The 19,152-nt window shown below is 38.4% G+C and overlaps 1 protein-coding gene across 4 annotated transcripts in view; it reads right to left on the bottom strand.

Annotated features, from left to right (window-relative positions):
- Window positions 1-19,152, bottom strand: part of HMGA2 (high mobility group AT-hook 2) — a 141,832-nt gene that overhangs the window by 45,633 nt on the left and 77,047 nt on the right. The window contains exon 4 of one of the 4 annotated variants that reach the window (NM_001300919.1): window positions 5,132-5,939. The exons of 2 other annotated variants lie outside the window; for them this stretch is intronic. In NM_001300919.1, the coding sequence (NP_001287848.1) occupies window positions 5,745-5,939 (195 nt within the window). In that variant the 3' untranslated portion in view covers window positions 5,132-5,744. Of the gene's footprint in view, window positions 1-5,131; window positions 5,940-19,152 lie in introns of those variants that run through there. One more of the 4 variants, NM_003484.1, reaches the window with a different exon arrangement.

The following is a 19,152-nucleotide window of genomic DNA, read 5'->3' as shown; positions in this document are numbered from 1 at the left end:
GCAAAAGTGGAAACCCCTGATAAACCCATCAGATCTTGTGAGACTTATTCACTATCACGAGAATAGCATGGGAAAGACTGGCCCCCATGATTCAGTTACCTCCTGCTGAGTCCCTCCCCTAACACATGGGAATTCTGGGAGATACAATTCGAGTTGACATTTGGGTGGGGACACAGGCAAACCATATCAGTTGGTAATAGGAGAATTGCACCTAAAATACGCATTCTAAACAAATCTACATGTTCCTTGTCTTTTTCTCTTTTTTTATTCTAGATTTTCTATTATATTTTAGTAGGCCCTTGATGTTTTTGAGGACTTGGCAAGCCCCCAGATTCACAGTCTCTAAACTTAAGAATCCAGGAAATAGTTCACTCAGGTTTGGAGATCTCTCCTGAAACTGTATTACTATCTAGAGGCAAGCGTTTCCTGTGCACATCCTCAGACTGCAAGTTAACTCCTTTTCCAGCTTCTACCCCGGACTCATCTCTCACTTCACGGCTATTTTCACAAAGAACTCCCCCACCACTAAAAAATGGTTTTGTTTCTTTAAAAGAGTTACTATGTAAACTCAAATTAGGAAACAAACAAGTCATATTGGGACTACCAGCTATGTATTGGCTCACTTCATCCACAACTAAATGATTTTCTCCCAAACATCAGCTTCCCGGAGCCAGAATTCAACTTTGTGCACAAGAAAAGTGACAAATTACTAAATGTCATGGACTTCAGAGTCCATCTTTCGTCATTAAAAACTGGTTGCCTGAGGCCCAAGGTGTTCTTTGTAAGAAGCTTTGAATCCTTTGTGGATTGAGGAAAAGCAGGATAATATTAAATAAGCCACAAATAAACAGCAAATCTGAACACCATCTGGTGAAAAGATTTGTTATATTATGTGATTCATATAGCTATTCTGCCACCTATTTGATTCCACTGCATGTCCTTCAGTGGTATTGATGGATTCACAGACATTGTAATTCTTATCAATTTAATGGCAAGTAATAGAACATGCTATATCTTCTCACGTGGTTCTCTTTATCTGTCTTCCAGAGTGAGAAAATGGCAGATTTACATAAATGTTTAAGAATTATTGGATTAGCCTTTGAAATAACATTACATGAATTTAACATTTTTCTTAAATTCTTATTTCATTGGCAAAAATCTGCCCTGGCATCACCTGCACTTACTACTAAAGCATCTCTGCATTCACCCACTGTTATGAAAATCAGGCAAGAGCAGAATAGGAAAGTGGGTCCAATGGGACTACTACCATTTTTTTTTTAAAGTAGATATTTTGCTTAATTTACTTTTGCTTTCTTTTGAGCCAAGAGCTCATGGACTACTGCTGTATTTTCATTAGTGATACGGTTTTATGTATCATTTAACAAGTACACCAAAATGCCAAATGTATATGTTAGGGTGAGTAATAAAGACTGGTTTTTCAGGGCGCCAGTCCATATTTTTTATAGTGCTTTCTGTCTTCCATTTTCAGGACTTAGCAAGTCTATGCTGCGCAATGTTCCCAAAGGGATATGGCTGTAAAATGTGTGAGGTCTGATAAATGTTCTTATCTGATGTTTGCCCATCTTCTGTGGGAAAATTCTATTAGATGAAACAAGACTGTCTAGACCTCCCTTTTCTTTTTCATCCTGCTGAGAGATTTATCAGAACCGTACCCCTTCCCTCCTACAGAAACATTTTTTTACATCTCAAGGTGCTTTGAAAATTGTAGTCAGCCCACTGGTATCTCCAGCTCTACAACATCATTCACCTCACTCCTAAAAATAGGAAATACTGCCAGGAAATGGATGCAAACAATTCTTACGTATTTAATAAAATAAGTAACATTGTTACCTTTTCCAGCTATTTCTCTGTTGCCCTTATGGGAGCATCTGTGGTAGAGCATTAAAAAGTTACATACAGATGTCATCCATAAGACTATTTTCAGACTCTCCAGCCTCCTGAAATTTGTCAACACCATTCATCTTGATCTTTACCAAAATCTGAGTTTTGTTTCTTTTCTTAAAAGTTTGAGAAAAGTGCATTCAGGTGTTTTTAAAGCATAAGAAGGTGAAAATTACATTTTTGATGTTTTCAAGGCCATTTTTCTTATTTATGTCATCACTGCATACAAAGTGTCTGAAAATAAAAAAGTTGAAATTTTCCAAGCATTCAACATAAAAAAACTTACAGATTAACTGTAGAACTATTTCCCAGTTTCAAAATTAATTAAACGCCACCACCAAGTTTTCTCACCAGCCCTGCTTACATTTCCTATGTGCACATCTCCCCTTTCTAACCAAGCTCCACTTCTCTTTATAAGTCCTTCCATCACAAAATTAAAGGAACATGTGATTTCCCTCCAGAACGACACTGCCTTTAATTCTTCTGCAAATGCTGACAGGTACTCTTACGAAAATGAAACCAAAAAGAGGTGAAGGAAGAGACAGAGAAGCATATTTCAAATCATTTTGACCCATTTCTTCATTTTGCTAAGATTAGGAAGGACATTTTGTGGAGCTAACTCAAAAGGCCATTTCACAAGCACTTCACAAGGGCATTTCACAAGAGGGTCTTTGAGAGAGAGGGCTTTGAGTAAATTACTTAGAAAATCCAAGTTTAAAAGCCTACTCTGAGTGAAGAATGGATGTTTTAGTTTGACTTATCAAAACTGGATGTTTTCACTGACTACATTTCTAGATAATTCTTCACTTTTATAAATTACTGAAAACCTGCTTTCTTTCTCTCCACCTGTTATCAAGAATAAAGTAAATGCTTGTAGAATTGTATTAGGTACTAAAGAGATACACAATAGTAGTTCTTGTCTTTACTAAGAAACTTAAAGTTTCATCACAGACACAAGATGAATGTCAAAGAAACAACTAGAGATACGAGCAAAGTAAGGGCCAAACCCACAGATCTAGGGCTCCACAACTGCACACTCCAGGAAACTCCAGCCTTTTTCAGTTCTTACTGCTCTTTCCTTCCCCCTTCTGTCTCTTCCTTGTCCTTCTTTTTCTCAATTCCTTTTCTCCCTTCTGCCTGTTTTATGTGTTTGGCCTGTCAGTGATGCTCACAGGCACTGTTGAGTACTCTGCTTTATGAAAACGCCCATGTTTCTATATCTGCTTACTTGCTTGATTCAGTCATTCCCTCATTCCCTCCCTCATTCGTTAAACCAACACTGTCTTATAAAGCTCTGTGCTAGAGAGCATGGAGGAAACAATCCAGACCAGATCCAGATTAGGCCCTGGTTTCACCTCTCTGCAGTCCTAGCTTTTGTCATTTGCTTTTATGGAAGCTGTCAAACACCATGGCTTCTTACTTAACTTCTTAGCGGCAATCCCGTTCCAGGGATCTGTGCTGCCTTCTCAACATTCTCACGGCCTCAGTGGCAGGGACCTTAGGCCCTGGGACTCCTCAGATATTTCTGTCTGCTTTTTCTTCCTTCTTTTAACTTCTCCCCCTCCCTCCATGCATTACCACTTAGTGCCCCTGGGGTTCAGCCAGGGGCTCCTAGCCCATCTTTTCCTTCTCTACTTATTCCCTTAGTGCAGCCATAAGGATTCAATTACCACCTATACTCAGATGAGCCCCAGATTTCCATCTTCAGCCCTGACACCTCTTCCTCTTTTCAGTCCCTTATTTCTCAGTGTCTACAAAATATATAGGCTAGACATTTCATTGCCATCTAAAACAAACGTGTCAAAACCAGATTTTATTCTCTCTCCACCCAAAGGTGCCTCTGCGGGCTACCTCACATAAGCGGCCCAAGTGCCGCTGCCCCAGCTGCCAAAGTCTACCTTCACCAGCTTCCTCTTTCTATTTATTGTCCGCTTTTCCCTGCATCCTTCCCTCAATTCTTCTACTAAGCCCTAGTAACTCTTTCTCTCTATTATTTTCCCAGACCCAAGCCTTCAAGGCTATTTCCATAGCCAAAGAACTCTTCTGGATATTAACTATCTCAAAGTCAAAAAACATATATTCATACACTCAAAAAAGTAGTAAACAGGAAAAGCTTCTTGGGGCATCCTGCACATCCTAAGACTGATCAGGAATAGTTCCTGTCACGTGTTTTCTAGTGATTTATAAAGCATTAAAAAATGCTTCAAGCTGGAGTTATATGCGTATTGTTTAAGCTTTTCTATTTACTTAATAGTTGTTTTTATATTATGTTCCCAGAGAGGTACTGGCCTAGCAGACACATTAGAAATAAATGCAGAAAAATGCAGACAAGATAAATGTAACAATGGAATTTCAAGCATATCCATCAAAAGACCTATCTGCAGTCCAGTACATCATGCTGTCAGGAAATTTTGCCTCTGGCTTATCTTCAAGTTTTCCACTTCTTAATCTTCATCCCTTTTTACACACTTTTTTATATTAAAGTATTCTTCTACCTCCTTGAGATGAATGTAAGAATACCTATCAGTTACTGAACATGGAACCAGCTGCCTCAGACTTGCAGCTTCATTGATCACCAGAACCAATTTGGTTGAGCCCTGGAAAATGTAATGGTCCACTGCACTCCCTTACTGTTCTGTGGGGGACTTGTTCAAAGTTGTGGGCCTAGTATAAAAGGATCTTCTTTTCTGGCAAGGATGACAGCACGGTACTCCTCTTAGAACGACTGGACTCTCACCTCCTAGGAAGGTTATTAGTGTGTAGATTATTTAAGACTGATGGTCACCCATTCCCCCTTTCCCTCCAGTACCCTGGGTTAGGTCATTTGGATGCTCAGTTAAGTCATCTCTAGAGGCGTGGTAGAGAAGAGGGGGAAGCAACGTTAATATGAATTAACTATCTTGATTTTGCCAATTTGCTATTACTAAGAATCTGTTAATAGAATGTGGACATTTTAAGCAAAATCTATTTGGGTTAATACCCAAATGTCCAAAATTTAAACCCAAAGAGTAACTCCACAAAACAAAAAAATGTAAGTCAAGGTAGGTATTCAAAGGTGCATCCAAAGAAATAGCTGGAACTGGCAGAAGTCATGGCAGCCCATCTGAAGCTGGGAATGAAATGTTACTGACAAACTGCACAGAGGATAAAAGACACAGGAAAATACCAATGGAATGAGAAAGGAAAGTCATGTGATATTACATGGCACTGAAGAGACAGAGACAGTGAATACTTTTTAAGCATCTGTTTTATGAAATCAAACCACACCATAGCCACACTGTGATTTCTGCAAAAAGGTGGATCCCTGTACGAGAGTAACTGGAGTTCAGCCCACCCTCTACTCTCTAAGCTGTCCCCGCAGGCATGGCTCTGCATGTGCCTAGAGTGAGTACTTTTTTCAAATTCGTACAAGGGTGCCATATGGGGTAGCAGTGAAACTACATCTTGGGATGCAGACTTCAGTTGGAAACATAAGAAAGAATAAGCCAGTGTTTTGAAATGATCTAAAAGACACCTGATAGGTTTCTATATCGGAGAAAGCCACACATAAGGCTCATAGATGTAATGGACAATTCCTCAAGGTGAAAATAACATGAAGAGCTATCCTGGACTCCTCCAATGACAATTCAGTGACTCCTTTTGGTACTGTTTCCCAGAGATGTTTTCTTCTTGGAGCTGGTTCTTGGTAGTAGATTGTCCTGTGGATATGACATCAGGATGGGGCATATGGCATGAATACCTCAGAAGAGATCTAGTGATGGAACACTAATAGACATTTTTTAGACCAGGCACGATGGCTCACGCCTGTATTCCCAGCACTTTGAGAGGCCAAGGTGGGTGGCTCACCTGAGGTCAGGAGTTCGAGACCAGCCTGGCCAACATGGTGAAACCCTGTCTCTACTAAAAATACAAAAATTAGCTGGGTGTGGTGGTGGGTGCCTGTAATCCCAACTACTCAGGAGCCTGAGGCAGGAGAATTGCTTGAACCTGGGAGGTGGAGGTTGCAATGAGCCGAGATTGTACCACTGCACTCCAGCCTGAGCAACAAAAACAAGACTCCGTCTCAAAAACAACAACAATAACAACAACAAACAACCAAAACATTTTTTTTTAATTATACTTTAAGTTTTAGGGTACATGTGCACATTGTGCAGGTTAGTTACATATGTATACATGTGCCGTGCTGGTGCGCTGCACCCACTAACTCGTCATCTAGCATTAGGTATCTCTCCCAATGCTATCCCTCCCCCCTCCCCCCACCCCACAACAGTCCCCAGAGTGTGATATTCCCCTTCCTGTGTCCATGTGATCTCATTGTTCAATTCCCACCTATGAGTGAGAATATGCGGTGTTTGGTTTTTTGTTCTTGCGATAGTTTACTGAGAATGATGATTTCCAATTTCATCCTTGTCCCTACAAAGGACGTGAACTCATCATTTTTTATGGCTGCATAGTATTCCATGGTGTATATGTGCCACATTTTCTTAATCCAGTCTAACATTGTTGGACATTTGGGTTGGTTCCAAGTCTTTGCTATTGTGAATAATGCCGCAATAAACATACGTGTGCATGTGTCTTTATAGCAGCATGATTCATAGTCATTTGGGTATATAGCCAGTAATGGGATGGCTGGGTCAAATGGTATTTCTAGTTCTAGATCCCTGAGGAATCGCCACACTGACTTCCACAATGGTTGAACTAGTTTATAGTCCCACCAACAGTGTAAAAGTGTTCCTGTTTCTCCACATCCTCTCCAAAACATTTTTTAAAAAGCATGTTGCAGGGGGATGAATAAAGACAATTATTTCAAATTCTCAACATTGTGTTCAACCCTAGGCTCCATAAGTGCCAGGAAATAGTGAACTGATGTAGAGGAGAGTATAACGAAAGGGAAGAGCAAGGGTAACCAACACTTCTTAGAGCACTGGTGACACATCAGGAACACTACACACATCAGCTGTGATGGGGACCCTGAGAGACAGGTCCCATGAACCCCACCTGACAGATGAGGGAACTTACGTTCAGAGAAGTCATGAGCTCTGAGTGGGGTCAAACAGCTAGTGAGTAACACGGCCCAGATTCAAACCTAGGTCTAACTACACAGTCCATATTCTTTCAATTACACCCTGCTGCTTATTAAAAGGCTGAATAATACACCTTATGAGAAAAGGATAAAGGAAGTTCTATAACTCATGCTTGATAAAAATGACTGAAAAGTGATATAATGTTTTTGAAGTACTGTCTAGGAAGGACTAACCTAAAGGATGGTAACCAGCTGTTTTGAAATGGGCTCTGAAGAAATAAGATTAGAAAATGGGCTTCAACTGCAACAAGAAGGCAAGTTTCCTTACCAGAAGGATTGCACTTATTGGACTCAGTGGCTGAGGAAGACTGGGGGATCTTCTTCCTGTGCAGAAGTCAAGATGACTGACCCCGGAGAAAAGCGGAGAAGTGAAGTTTGTTTAAAATGGGGAAGACCACTGAAGGAGTTGACCAGAGAAAAGGAAGGAGAGGCAAACTGCCGCAGAATGGTACAAAATGGCAGAAGGAAAAAATAGCACAAAATGGTGGAAGGAATGGAGGAACAGAAGAACTGTTGTGTGGAGAACTACACAGAAAACAAGAGACTCATGATTATAAGTAATTAATTAAAACCTTTTTGTTTTAATAACGTCTAGTGTAACTGTGCTTGTGAAGCAAATTCCTACCACATCTCCTCTGAAGGTGTTTTCAAACAATAGAGATTTTTTATCTGAATGGAAGAATTTAAGAGTGGTCCTGCCTCAGAGCAGGGGCACAGAAGTGCTAAAGGACTGCTTTGAGAGTTTTTGTCAACCCTAAAACAGTTTCTATTTTAACTTTATATTTATATAGATGAATAACGTTCTCATTTTAGAAACTAAAATGCCCCATTTGGCATGATCATCCTATGAGAATCCACATTTTAGACTTGTGAAAACTGTGGGCCAGAGAGGAAGAGGGACTCATCCAGTAAATAGCTGATGGAGCTATGGCATGACGTTAAATCCAGGAATAGATTCCAAATCCAGGATTCTTTCCAGAATCAAAACCTATGCTTTCAATCACATTCTGAGTGTTGGCTGTCTGTGAACAATACCTCCTCAGGTTGTTCCTTTAACTTCAATGTGAATCACTTATAACTGCTAAATAAAACTGATAATTCAGCATGAACAGGACAATGCAAAGGACCCAAGTATCTAAGACTCCCCTGACACTCTACAGATTGGAGGAAATGATTTTCAGAAGGGTTCTAGACAGAGCAGGAGCAGGAAGCAAGGTCTAGAAGCTTTTGTTCTTTATTTTGCTGAGGCCCACCATGAAGAGTGCTCCCAGGGGACATTCTTTCTTTCATTTGCATATTCATTCATTTATTTAAATTTAAAATAGATGAGGTCACACTTTTTGGCCTATTTTTGCAGCACTGAAAATTTTTAAAGCTGTGCACTTAATGGAGAAATAAATGACAGAATATAAAAATATATCAAGTTCACTTTAACATAAAAAATTTGATTAGCTTACCAAAATAATATGCATAAATTTAAAAATTTAATATTTATCATTTACCTGAAGAATCATTCTGTGAAGTATGGTAAGGGTTGCAAACTATTGGGTGTTTGGGGATTGTAAAGAGAACATAAACAGAAAGACTAGTGGAAAGATATAGTTAATACAGTATCTAAATCAGGGATCACCAGCCTGAAGCTCTGACACTAGAACTTCCATACAACGTATTATCTATAAGTGTAGATATGGCCAGATCCATAGAGAGTAGACTTTTAGTATAGAGATGCCACTATCATAGTTTCATTTCTGTTTGGCCATGCTTGTAACATAATTTTTAGAATGGAATTGTTAATAAACATACAGTTAAATGTGGTGAACCCCACATCTTGGAGATTCAACAATACTGATCATTTACCATGGTAAGTTCTTATTTCTACACGGATGCTCTGGTTCTGTGTGTGCATAAGGGGCACTTAGAGAATAAAGGATCTCATCATCTCAGGTATGACAAGAAAGACCAAAAGGGGCCCCAAATGTAATTCCGTTTGGTATTGATGAAAATTCTAATGACCGAATGCTCATTAGGAGGATTGGCTTTTGGAATAAGCCGTGTTTGTGGAATCGAACATGCTAAGAGAATAGAAGGAATGGACAACTTAGAGCATATGACCCGGCTTTGCTTCCTGGATCTTAATCTTGCTGTCATCACACAGCTTTCCCTGGAGTCCTGCCAAGCAATGTGCCAGCAGAGAAGCTGCTCTGTTGAGTAGAGGATGTGGATGCTAATTACCCTATCACCTGTTTCCAGGGAAGACTGAAAGCATATTAAGGTTTTTAGAAGGCTGATCCTCTCAACAACCAGCCCATTATTAAGCTATCTTCTTATCTAAAAACTAACTTTAAAGTCAAGTGGTAGAGATGGTTCATCTGTTATCCCAAACTTTGAATATCTGTTTTTCTAACAACAAAGACCAGCTGCTCCCTACCTCCAACACTTGAGTCTAGAGGCATCTTCTAAAATTTGCTTGTACTTTAAATGCTAATGTAAGTCATCAAAGTATACCAATTGAGTTGGATACATGGAGTGTCGTTTTGAAATAAATAGTTCTATTGTTCGATATCAGCTTTTAAGCTTAGAAAATGTCCTCTGCATATCTGAAGGCTTATTTCTTAATATTGTTCCTCTCAAAGATCTTGCCCATTGCTGCAGAATCTGTGGGGGCTCTAGTGCTGAAAGGATAAAGGTGAATAGAGAATGGGGTGGAAGGAAGCTAAACACCACCTCTCTTAACCACTGGCATTCAGTGACTACTAATTGCTACTACTAACTGGTCTATACAGTTCAAAAACTTGAGTTGAATTTGCGCCTTTGAATTCAGTCAACGCTTGGAACAAAGGGTATTTAGCCCCCTTTTTTTTATAAGTCAAAAGGACACATATAAGAAACCAAAAGAAAACTATGGATATGTGCATTTCAGTTTCAGTTGGACAGTACTCCAAGAACTAATAAGATGTTTTAAAAAGAAAAAAAGGAGAAAACTGTAAAAAGTGTCTGAGGACCTAGTACCCCAAGTTCCTACCAGAAGATGTCATGAAAACTCAGGGACCACAGACACCGAACAGAGAGAAATGCATGCAGGAGCAAAGGAAAAACAGCAAAATCTTATGTAGAATTATCAACTACATGCGTTCATATTCATGGCTAAAGATACAGAACATCTTACTCAATAATCTATAACATTGGGACAACAGAATCTATGTGGTAGGTGTGAGGAGTGAGTACGGTGTAAAGATTTTTAAGTGAGATATAAAAGATTTAATGCAGTACCTCGGTCAGCAGTGACTATTGTTCATGACTGCAATATTAGTCTTTGAGAGAATACTTGGATTATTGAACAAAAAAGAAAAAGACCTGGAGAAGGTATCTGCTCTTGGTGATGGGGACCTGTTTCATGAGAATGGTTAGGCAATGACTGAATTAAGAGACTGAGCAGAGGCCTCTTCCCCTGACTAAGGGCAGAGAAAGGAGCATGTTTTCAGCTGTGGCTGAGTAAAAATGAGTGTAAGAACCACCTGGAACACAAAGAGGGGAGGTGGACAGGAGCCTCGTCTTCATTGCTTTGGTCTTTAGCTCCTCTAGTTTTCTTCTCTAGTGTATGCTCTCTCTCCTTCCTTCCTCTCTACCTCTTTTCAATATATCCTCTTTTGTGCTGTTAGCTTTATTTGCCCTTTTTACTGGTCCTAGTGAAAGTATTCTGTACATTCAACATCCAAGACGATGTGCATGCAGCCATCTCCTAAGAGAGGACTACGTGAGCCAAATAGGTCACCGAGGGTGTGAATGTGGAAGCCAGAGGTCTCCACCTGAACAGCTGGGTTTGCATGTGTTTACTCCTACAGGCTTAAAATGTAACATCTTGGTCCTCTAAGCAGGGTATAAAACTATGTTCAATGGATTTACAGAGATGAGGTTATATCTCCATATTCATGCCCGTGGATGTGCTACTCCTACATTCACATCTATATAGGCAAAAAAGAGGCAAAGACATCAGGTTTGAGGCTTGATGGTTTTTGGTTAAATTAGGTCAAAGTTCCCTGTTTTTCTTCATCATCCCTTTTTTTTCTTTGTTGGTTGGTTGGTTTCTAAATAGACTCCTTCAGATAATGACATCTCTTTCCCACTTCACCCTTAGCTTTAGATATTTTTCATTCTCAAGTTAGCCTGAGAGAATAATAGCATTTCTAACTTTGTCTTCCCTATGACTGAAAAATTCAAAATATGCCTGTAAAAAGATTAAATGGAAATTAGGGATGCTAAATATTCCACATTACAGGAATAAATCAGAGATTAAAAAAAAAAGAAGGCAATCCATAGTTTAAATTTCCTGCCTGCAGGGCACACTACACCTTATATCCTTTTAAATTCCACAGGTAATATAATTTATATTAAATGGGGCAGTTCCCAGCAGAAATTTGTGCTGGCGCCAGACAAAACAATTACTTTGATGTGCACTTTTGAAAGTATTGTGGCTCCCAGGTATGGGACTTACATACAAACAGTAGAGATTTAGATGTACTTTCTGTTATTAAAATTATTACATTGCTAATGTGTGATTATTGAGCATAATAAGCAAATTAAAGGTAATCTATTTACTTTAAAAAAATTAGATCAACAGTTAGAAAGTAAGAAAAATTAAAGTCAGACAGTCTCATAGTTTGCTAAGCTACAATTTCCTAGAAAAGAAAGCAAAACAAATCTTCTGCCAGCGGATGTGTTCAGAAGTAAGCCTTTTTAAGATGATGGTAGGATATATGTTGTAAAGGTAATTATAGTGGAATTCAGGTCGGGCCAAAGTAGATGAAGATTAGAGTTTTGTAACAAAAAAAGCCTTTTGCTGTAGTTGACCACATTGCAGAAACTCCTCAGTCTATATGGGAGTTGGGTTGCAAAAGTCTGTTTGTGAATTGACTATCAGGAAAGCAGAATAAACGTTCTTACTAAAATTACAATGGTTAAAAACATAGGCATCTATTAAGTCCCCATTAGATGCCAAGGAAGACATTAAGGATGAAAGTTCCTTCAAGGAAGAAATAGATGCATAAACAAATAATTTTAACACTGTGCACTAAAATGGCTGTGGATGAACGAAGAGAGGACCATCTAATTCTACTTCCCAGCAACAACTGGAGACATATGAAACTCATTTTGAAAATGTAGAAAGGGTAATAACAAAGAGAAAGGCAAAGGAAAAAAAAGAAAGGATGTGAAGGGAAATATCTGGAAGACAACTGAATGAGACTTTGAAGAGATTAGGAAAAATCTAGAGATGTTGGAATGTATGAGTAAGAAATCACACTGAGTAGAACAGACAGACTGGAGAATAGAACTACAATATGTGTGTGAGATATGCCGAGCTAAGGAGAACAACTCATGCCAACAGTTCCCCGTACCTGTTCCCAAGCAGGAAGGGGAAACCCAGCCTGTATACAGGCTGCCCTTCGCATGTAATGGCTGTTTGACAGTCAGGTACAAGTAAAGTAAAGTGTGCTTTTCATGCAATACCATAACTCACCATGAAAATAAATTAATCTTCAACAAAATTATACCAAATTTAGGCAAATTCTTGGTACACTTGATTGTCTAATTTGGCCTTCTTTTCTCCACAAAGAGTGTGTGGTTTCCTCTAAATGCTTAATTGGCAGACTCTACGGATATCTCAATTTTATTTAAAGGACAAAGATTTGAGTAATTAAGTGTAAAAAGAGAGTCAAGCTACCTTTGTAATGGTTGAAAAGCAATGGTACAGCTGAAATGGACTGCCAAAATGAAACTTAGGTCACACAGTCGTTGAAACCACCCAGAAGCAGTAGAAGGACTGGAAATTATGTTGGAAACCCAATTACATCATTACTATCCAGTGCAGCTGCTTAATCCCATGTCTACCACTTCCCAGAACCATGCGGCCACAACAGGATTGTTACCTAGAAACATCCTTACTTGAAAAATTAAGCACTTGTCCAATAATTTCCTGTTAATCACCAATTTCCCTAAACGTTGGCTTGTGTGCCTTGTAAGTGGCCACCCTATCTTTCGGTTCCCTATTCTCAAATCGCTGTCATTGATGAAGAACTCCCCAAAGAATAGGCCTCCTAGGTCCCTCCAAAGAGGGGCATAGACTCCTCTCTGAATTGCTCTTTTATGCTAGTTAATTGATTGTTGAGTGATCCCCTAACTTTGCACAAACGCTGAGAGGCCCAGAACTCTCAGCATATGACTATCAGAGCACTTTACCCCCCACCTTTTTTTTTTTTTTTTTTTTGAGACGGAATCTCTCACTCTGTTGTCCAGGCTGGAGTGTAGTGGCATGATCTTGGTTCGCTGCAACCTCTGCCTCCCTGGTTCAAGCTATTCTCCTGCCTCAGCTTCCTGAGTAGCTGGGATTACAGGCATGCATCACCACACCTGGCTCATTTTTGTATTTTTTGTTTGTTTGTTTTTAGTAGAGATGGGTTTTCACCATGTTGGCCAGGCTGGTCTCGAACTCCTGACCTCGTGATCCGCCTGCCTCGGCCTCCCAAAGTGCTGGGATTACAGGTGTGAGCCACCGCACCCAGCAACCCCTTTTAATTGAAGTTAACAGTTCACATGCTTGGCTCCCACTCGTTTTCAGGTACAGGGAATGCCCATACACCTTTGGAGTCAAATGCTAGCCTTGCACAGGTCCTGGCACACTGGAGGTGATCAGTAATTGGAAAAGAAACCCATTTCCACAGGGTCTTGATCTTTAATGTTTGTAGCAATTAGGACACTATATTTGACGTTGAACCTCCAGAATAACTATTAGACAATAACATCAGCTTCTAGACTTGTAATATCTTATAAGCATGGTTTCTGCCCTCAAAGAACGTACAATCTAAACAAAGAATAATAAAAAAACTTAAAATCCTTACTCTACAGAACTTAATGTTTAGCATAATTTGTTATTTTTAACCTTTTTCTTTATGATCTTCTTCTCTAATGCCCTGTTTCTTTCCCCCTCTACCCTTCTAGTGGGTACCACCAGCCCTAATCAGCATCAAACAAAAATATCCCCAAGAGTATTCTATGAGTTGAACTAACTCACCACCCGGATTCTAAATGCTGATGATAGGGAAGACTAGAGAGTCACCTTCTTGCTGAAGTATGGGAAGTGAAACAACATACTAGCAAGACACTTGTGCTTAGCTTTTTCCTTCTAAAGCTACAGAGCCCATGAATAAACACAAAGATGTACCTACACACTTATTAATGAATGTTGCTGGGCTACTGTGGACCCATTTCTGTAGAAATCAACCTTCAAGAGCTCACATAAAATGGCAACAAATCTGTATGCCCATAAGATGCTATCATCGGAGGCACTGACCCCCCAAGTGACCCCTGACAGTCCCCTCACCTCTCCCACAAGACTTCCAAAGGATCGCCCCTCCAAGCCATTGTTATGTGTGACCTCATGGCAACTTCCCGACATGAGTTTAGCTGCAGGCTGATGTCTAAAAGTTCACGCACTATAAAAACTGGTTTATTGGATGCAAAAGAGAATTAGGACTTCAAAGACTCTTACTCTGTCAAATTAAATTAACATATGGAACAGCAACTAAGCTATGATTGGTATTCATAGCATCAGCTCTTTGGTAAGGCTCTGGCTGGTTTTTAATGCAGCTTGTTCGCTGTTTTAAGTGAACTATTGCTGATCTAATCTGGTTACTTAGAAGAATATTTAATGACTTGGGAAACAATATCATGTGAAGTGTAAAGAATACAAAATTACACAAGGTATAATACATATTTTCTAAATGAGACTCTATATTTAGCTTTTAAAATTGTTTACTTCATAGATAAAAAATTTACACTAAAATATTAACTCTGATTTCTTCTGAGTAGTAAGATTCAACAATTTTATTTTATTCCTTCAGCTTTTATGAGTCATCTAAAATTTCTAAAGAGAATGTATTAGTTTAAGAATATATGTGTTTTTAAGGAAAGTATTTTTTAAAGAAAAATATTCCTTATGTAAGTAGAAGCGTGCAAAGAGTACTGTGCATATACAGGGCAGGCATTGTCATGCACACTGTGTCGCTATTCTCAGAAGAAGTGGAGTTGAGTGATGACATGTCTGTGCTGTGGAGTTAGTGTCCACACACAGGTTTGGACATGAGGTATTTTATTTGTCTTCTGCTTTTTCTTTCTATTCCTCAACCTATAAAACTGTAATAATGAACAATCAAAATATTTGAATATTGGTAATTTTTTTTTCCATTTTCTTTTTCTTCTGGAAGAGAGCTTGGTTTCAAAATACAATGGAATCCCATACAAGAAGCTTGATAAACACGTAAACAAAATTAAGCAGAATAAAGCATGAGAAATAGACAATATTCAATTTTTTTACCTACAAAAACGGCAATTTCATTTGGTTTAACTGACTATATCAATATTGTTAATTATACAGAAAAATGCCCATTTTAGTATTTATCCTTATTTTCTATTATGTGTGTGTGTGTGTGTGTGTGTGATAAAGTCAATTCATTATAACCTACTCCCAAAATAATCAGAAAGCCACACCTCTAAGAAATAAAAATTAGGACATGCATTTCAAAGACTGATATAAATGACTTTCTATTTATCTGCAATTAAAATAAACTTTTTTTTTTTTGAGATGGAGTCTTGCTCTGTTGTCCAGGCTGGAGTGCAGTGGCGCGATCTTGACTCACTGCAACCTCTGCCTCTCAGGTTCAAGCAATTCTCGTGCCTCAGCCTCCCAAGTAGCTGGGATTACAGGCACCCACCACCATGCCCAGCTAAATTTTGTATTTTTAGTAGAGATGGGGTTTCACCATGTTGGCCAGGCTGCTTTTGAACTCCTGACCTCAGGTGATCTGCCCACCTCGGCCTCCCAAAGTGAAAAAAATTTTCACTCTATACAGTTTCACTCTATAATTTACCTAACCAAAAGCTGACTTGGCTGTAGAGTTATATATATGTAGGATGTTTAAGAGTTTTAAAATAAGTAATTAGTATCATCAAACTAGCCAGAAATTTAATCCTCAAAATGTCAAAAACAATTATTTGAATCAATTAATAAACACATCATTCAGAATCATCAAATCAACCAGTTGTGCATATCAGAACCATTCTCTTGCACCTTGTTTTATTCATTTATAAAACAGTAATTCTTTAGTTGTAAAGTTGCAGCAAAAAAATCAGTTAAAGAACAATTGCTAAGGAACTGGAGAAGGTGGCTTGCACTGTCTTGATTCTGAATGCTTTCTACTGTGGAAAAACAAGATAGGTCCCAGTTCTATGTGGTAAGGGCATACTGATAATTGTGTAGTGCTTCATATTAGAAGTCATTTAAAAATGAATTGCTCTGCAGCTTCAATTGTTTGATGAGTCTATAATCTAGAGGTAGACTGGGTGACTGCGGTGCTTTGGTCACTCAACGAGCCAAGGAACACACTGGGTGGAAGCAGTATGCCCAGATTCTAGGCCCAGCCTCTCAACCCATGAGTTAATTCTATGACGTTGAACAGATCTGTCAGACGTCCCTGGCCCAGGGCCTCTGGAAAATGAAGCTAATGATTTAAAGTTCTCTCTGATTAACTAGTGCTTTACAAATTACTGTACAAATTCAAGATATTATCATTACTGCTCATGGATCGCTACGCGATGTGTTTGGTTTTGTTATTTACTACTATATACTGACAAATATAACCCCACTTCCCCCAAATAAAACATTACCTCTTTATCTCCACTAGGAAATCAAGTGGCTCTAGGCCGTTATCATGAATGTAAATTTGCCAGTGTTGGGTCTTATTTCATTCCAGCAACAAAAATGGATGTTATCTGTTATCTGCTAGTTATTCACAGAAGCCTTACTTCTCACCAATCAAAAAGCCAAAAGACGTGGCATAACTCTGAGTTCAGAAATTCTGTGATCAAATCCCTATTCTTCCTCAGAATGAAGAAGCACTACTCTTGGAACACAAACAGCCTCTGTAGGTCCACGGATACAGTGTTTGACACGCCTGTCAGAAGCATTTTGCTAACATTTAACCTAAAAAAAAATACTCACTGTGATTTCTCGAACCTTTTACCTTGGATCCTTCTCACAGTGGCTCCTGTTTACCAGAGACCCTTGCTCTGCCCCCACCTCCCCGGCGATGTCTCAGTATGTTCATTCTGCTCTTGTGACTACAGTCTTTTTGGCTTTCCCTAGAAGGTAATTTTTTCCCCACTCAGATCCTTTTACTGTGAGCCTATGCATTTCTCCAAAGTTTCCTAATAGTCTGCAATTTATGTTACTCAAACTGATGGCTGAAAAATCAATTGATTTAAAATCCTACATGTCCCTTTATTTTCTAGCATACATTGGCCATATATACATTTAACTTTATGGCATTTGTTTTTAGGAAATGCTTTAGTGAAGTGACACAAGTTTCAGTCTTTTCAATCAGCAAAGCCATTAGTTCCAAATTGTATATTTGGTGGAGAATATATTTATGTGTATATAAACACATTCTAAACCAAGAGACAATGAAATATAAAGCAGCTGAAGGGAAATGGTATTCCCAGTGACATCTCATATCCTGGTGCTTGTTTCTTTAAAAAAACAAACAAACCAAAACAAACAAACAAACAAACTAGGGCAACATTTAGACCAATATATACGAATAATGTATTCTCTTTCTTCTTTTAGATCCTACTTCAGCTTGCTTTATTTTCTTTCTAATACTACTACTTGGTTTATATAACTATCTCACTCTACAAAATTTAGATATAAAATTTTGAATTAGTACTGGTAAGTACTAATTAGTACATTGATATTTTGTATGGGACAAGAGGAGAGTGAGGAAGTTGGAATTATCTTAGGCCACACCGTGAGTTTCACAATTAAATCCTGTAGTATCAGCAGGTCAAAAATTTGGTTGTATCAGAGATGACTAATGACATCAGAATATAGTTCTCTACTTTCTTCTGAATGTAAAAAGATACCAAAACATACTGTCTGTTCCATTTCCTCATTTCTGGGCAGCTGTTTTCTCAGACTCTGCTATCTATTGCAGAAAATGGATCTGGCCATCCAGCTGTCACTTAGTTTTATTCTCACACTTGATGAAAGCATTTCCCCAGGCTCAGTGTGTGTCCAGTAATTTAAAGGAATATAATTTTTGGTTGTTTTCTTTTTCAAGGGCTCTTGGGGTAAAACATTTTTTCAGAAAAGACAGAGAATTTTTGAGTCAGAAAAACCTGAACTCAAATCTCATCTTCATCATTTATTACCAGTATAATGTCTCATTTTTGTGTAAAATGAAGATATTATAATTGAGCTCACAGAGATTTTCAAAAGATTAGTTTTGAGGAATGTGCCTGGTATAGAATGTAGCACATAACAGGTGTTCGATATTGTTTGTTTATTACTATCTATGGAAGACAAATTAAGATGATCAACGGTCTTCACAAATTCACGTCAGTTCTCTTAAGAAACTGAAAATGGCTCTTTAGCTATTTATTTGGAAAGAAAAAAAAAACTCTTAAAAGTAGGATGATCCATATTACAGCAAACATTTAAGCTCAACCTGGGAAACAGGAACCAAGTCCTCCTTATATTGGTGCAGAGCCCAGGACAAAGTTTGCTACATAGTCGTTTCTCAGAGAATAAACTAAGGAAAGTCTTTACAAAGTAAGTTAATCAACACCATCCATTTTTATTATATTTGAAAAACATTCCTATGGTTCTCACATAAAACACTTCGTTTTCACATACTTCAGAATATTAAGTTGGTGGAGATCGTGTTTCTTAGGTTTGTGTGTGTGTGTTTTATTTTGTTTGAAAAGTTCTGCTTGTGTCCTTCGAATAACAAGGATCTAAAAATAGGACTCAACAGAAAATTGTGGGGGATTTATAGATTCATGTCATAAGGCATCCATTGTCTTCCATTATCTAGTAAATGTTTAACGTCAGGATCTCTGGGAGAAAAAACAATGTGTGCATATATACATATTCATAAGTGTATTATAAAATTAGTGATTTAAGGAATGTTTAGTAAATAATTGACAAGTGATAATAAAATATGTAATACTCTGTTTTCAAATTCCATACACCTGTAATTTGTTTCACTTGCTATTTCTTGCAAAATTCAGTATCAGTTTTTGTAATTCTATCACCAACAACAGTGTCACAAAATCAG

The sequence above is a fragment of the Homo sapiens genome, chromosome 12 (assembly GCF_000001405.40).
Source record: "Homo sapiens chromosome 12, GRCh38.p14 Primary Assembly".
NCBI classification, from domain to species: Eukaryota; Metazoa; Chordata; class Mammalia; order Primates; family Hominidae; genus Homo; species Homo sapiens.
The sequence above is the reverse complement of the archived record's forward strand: the minus strand, read 5'-3'. Positions and strand labels throughout refer to the sequence as shown.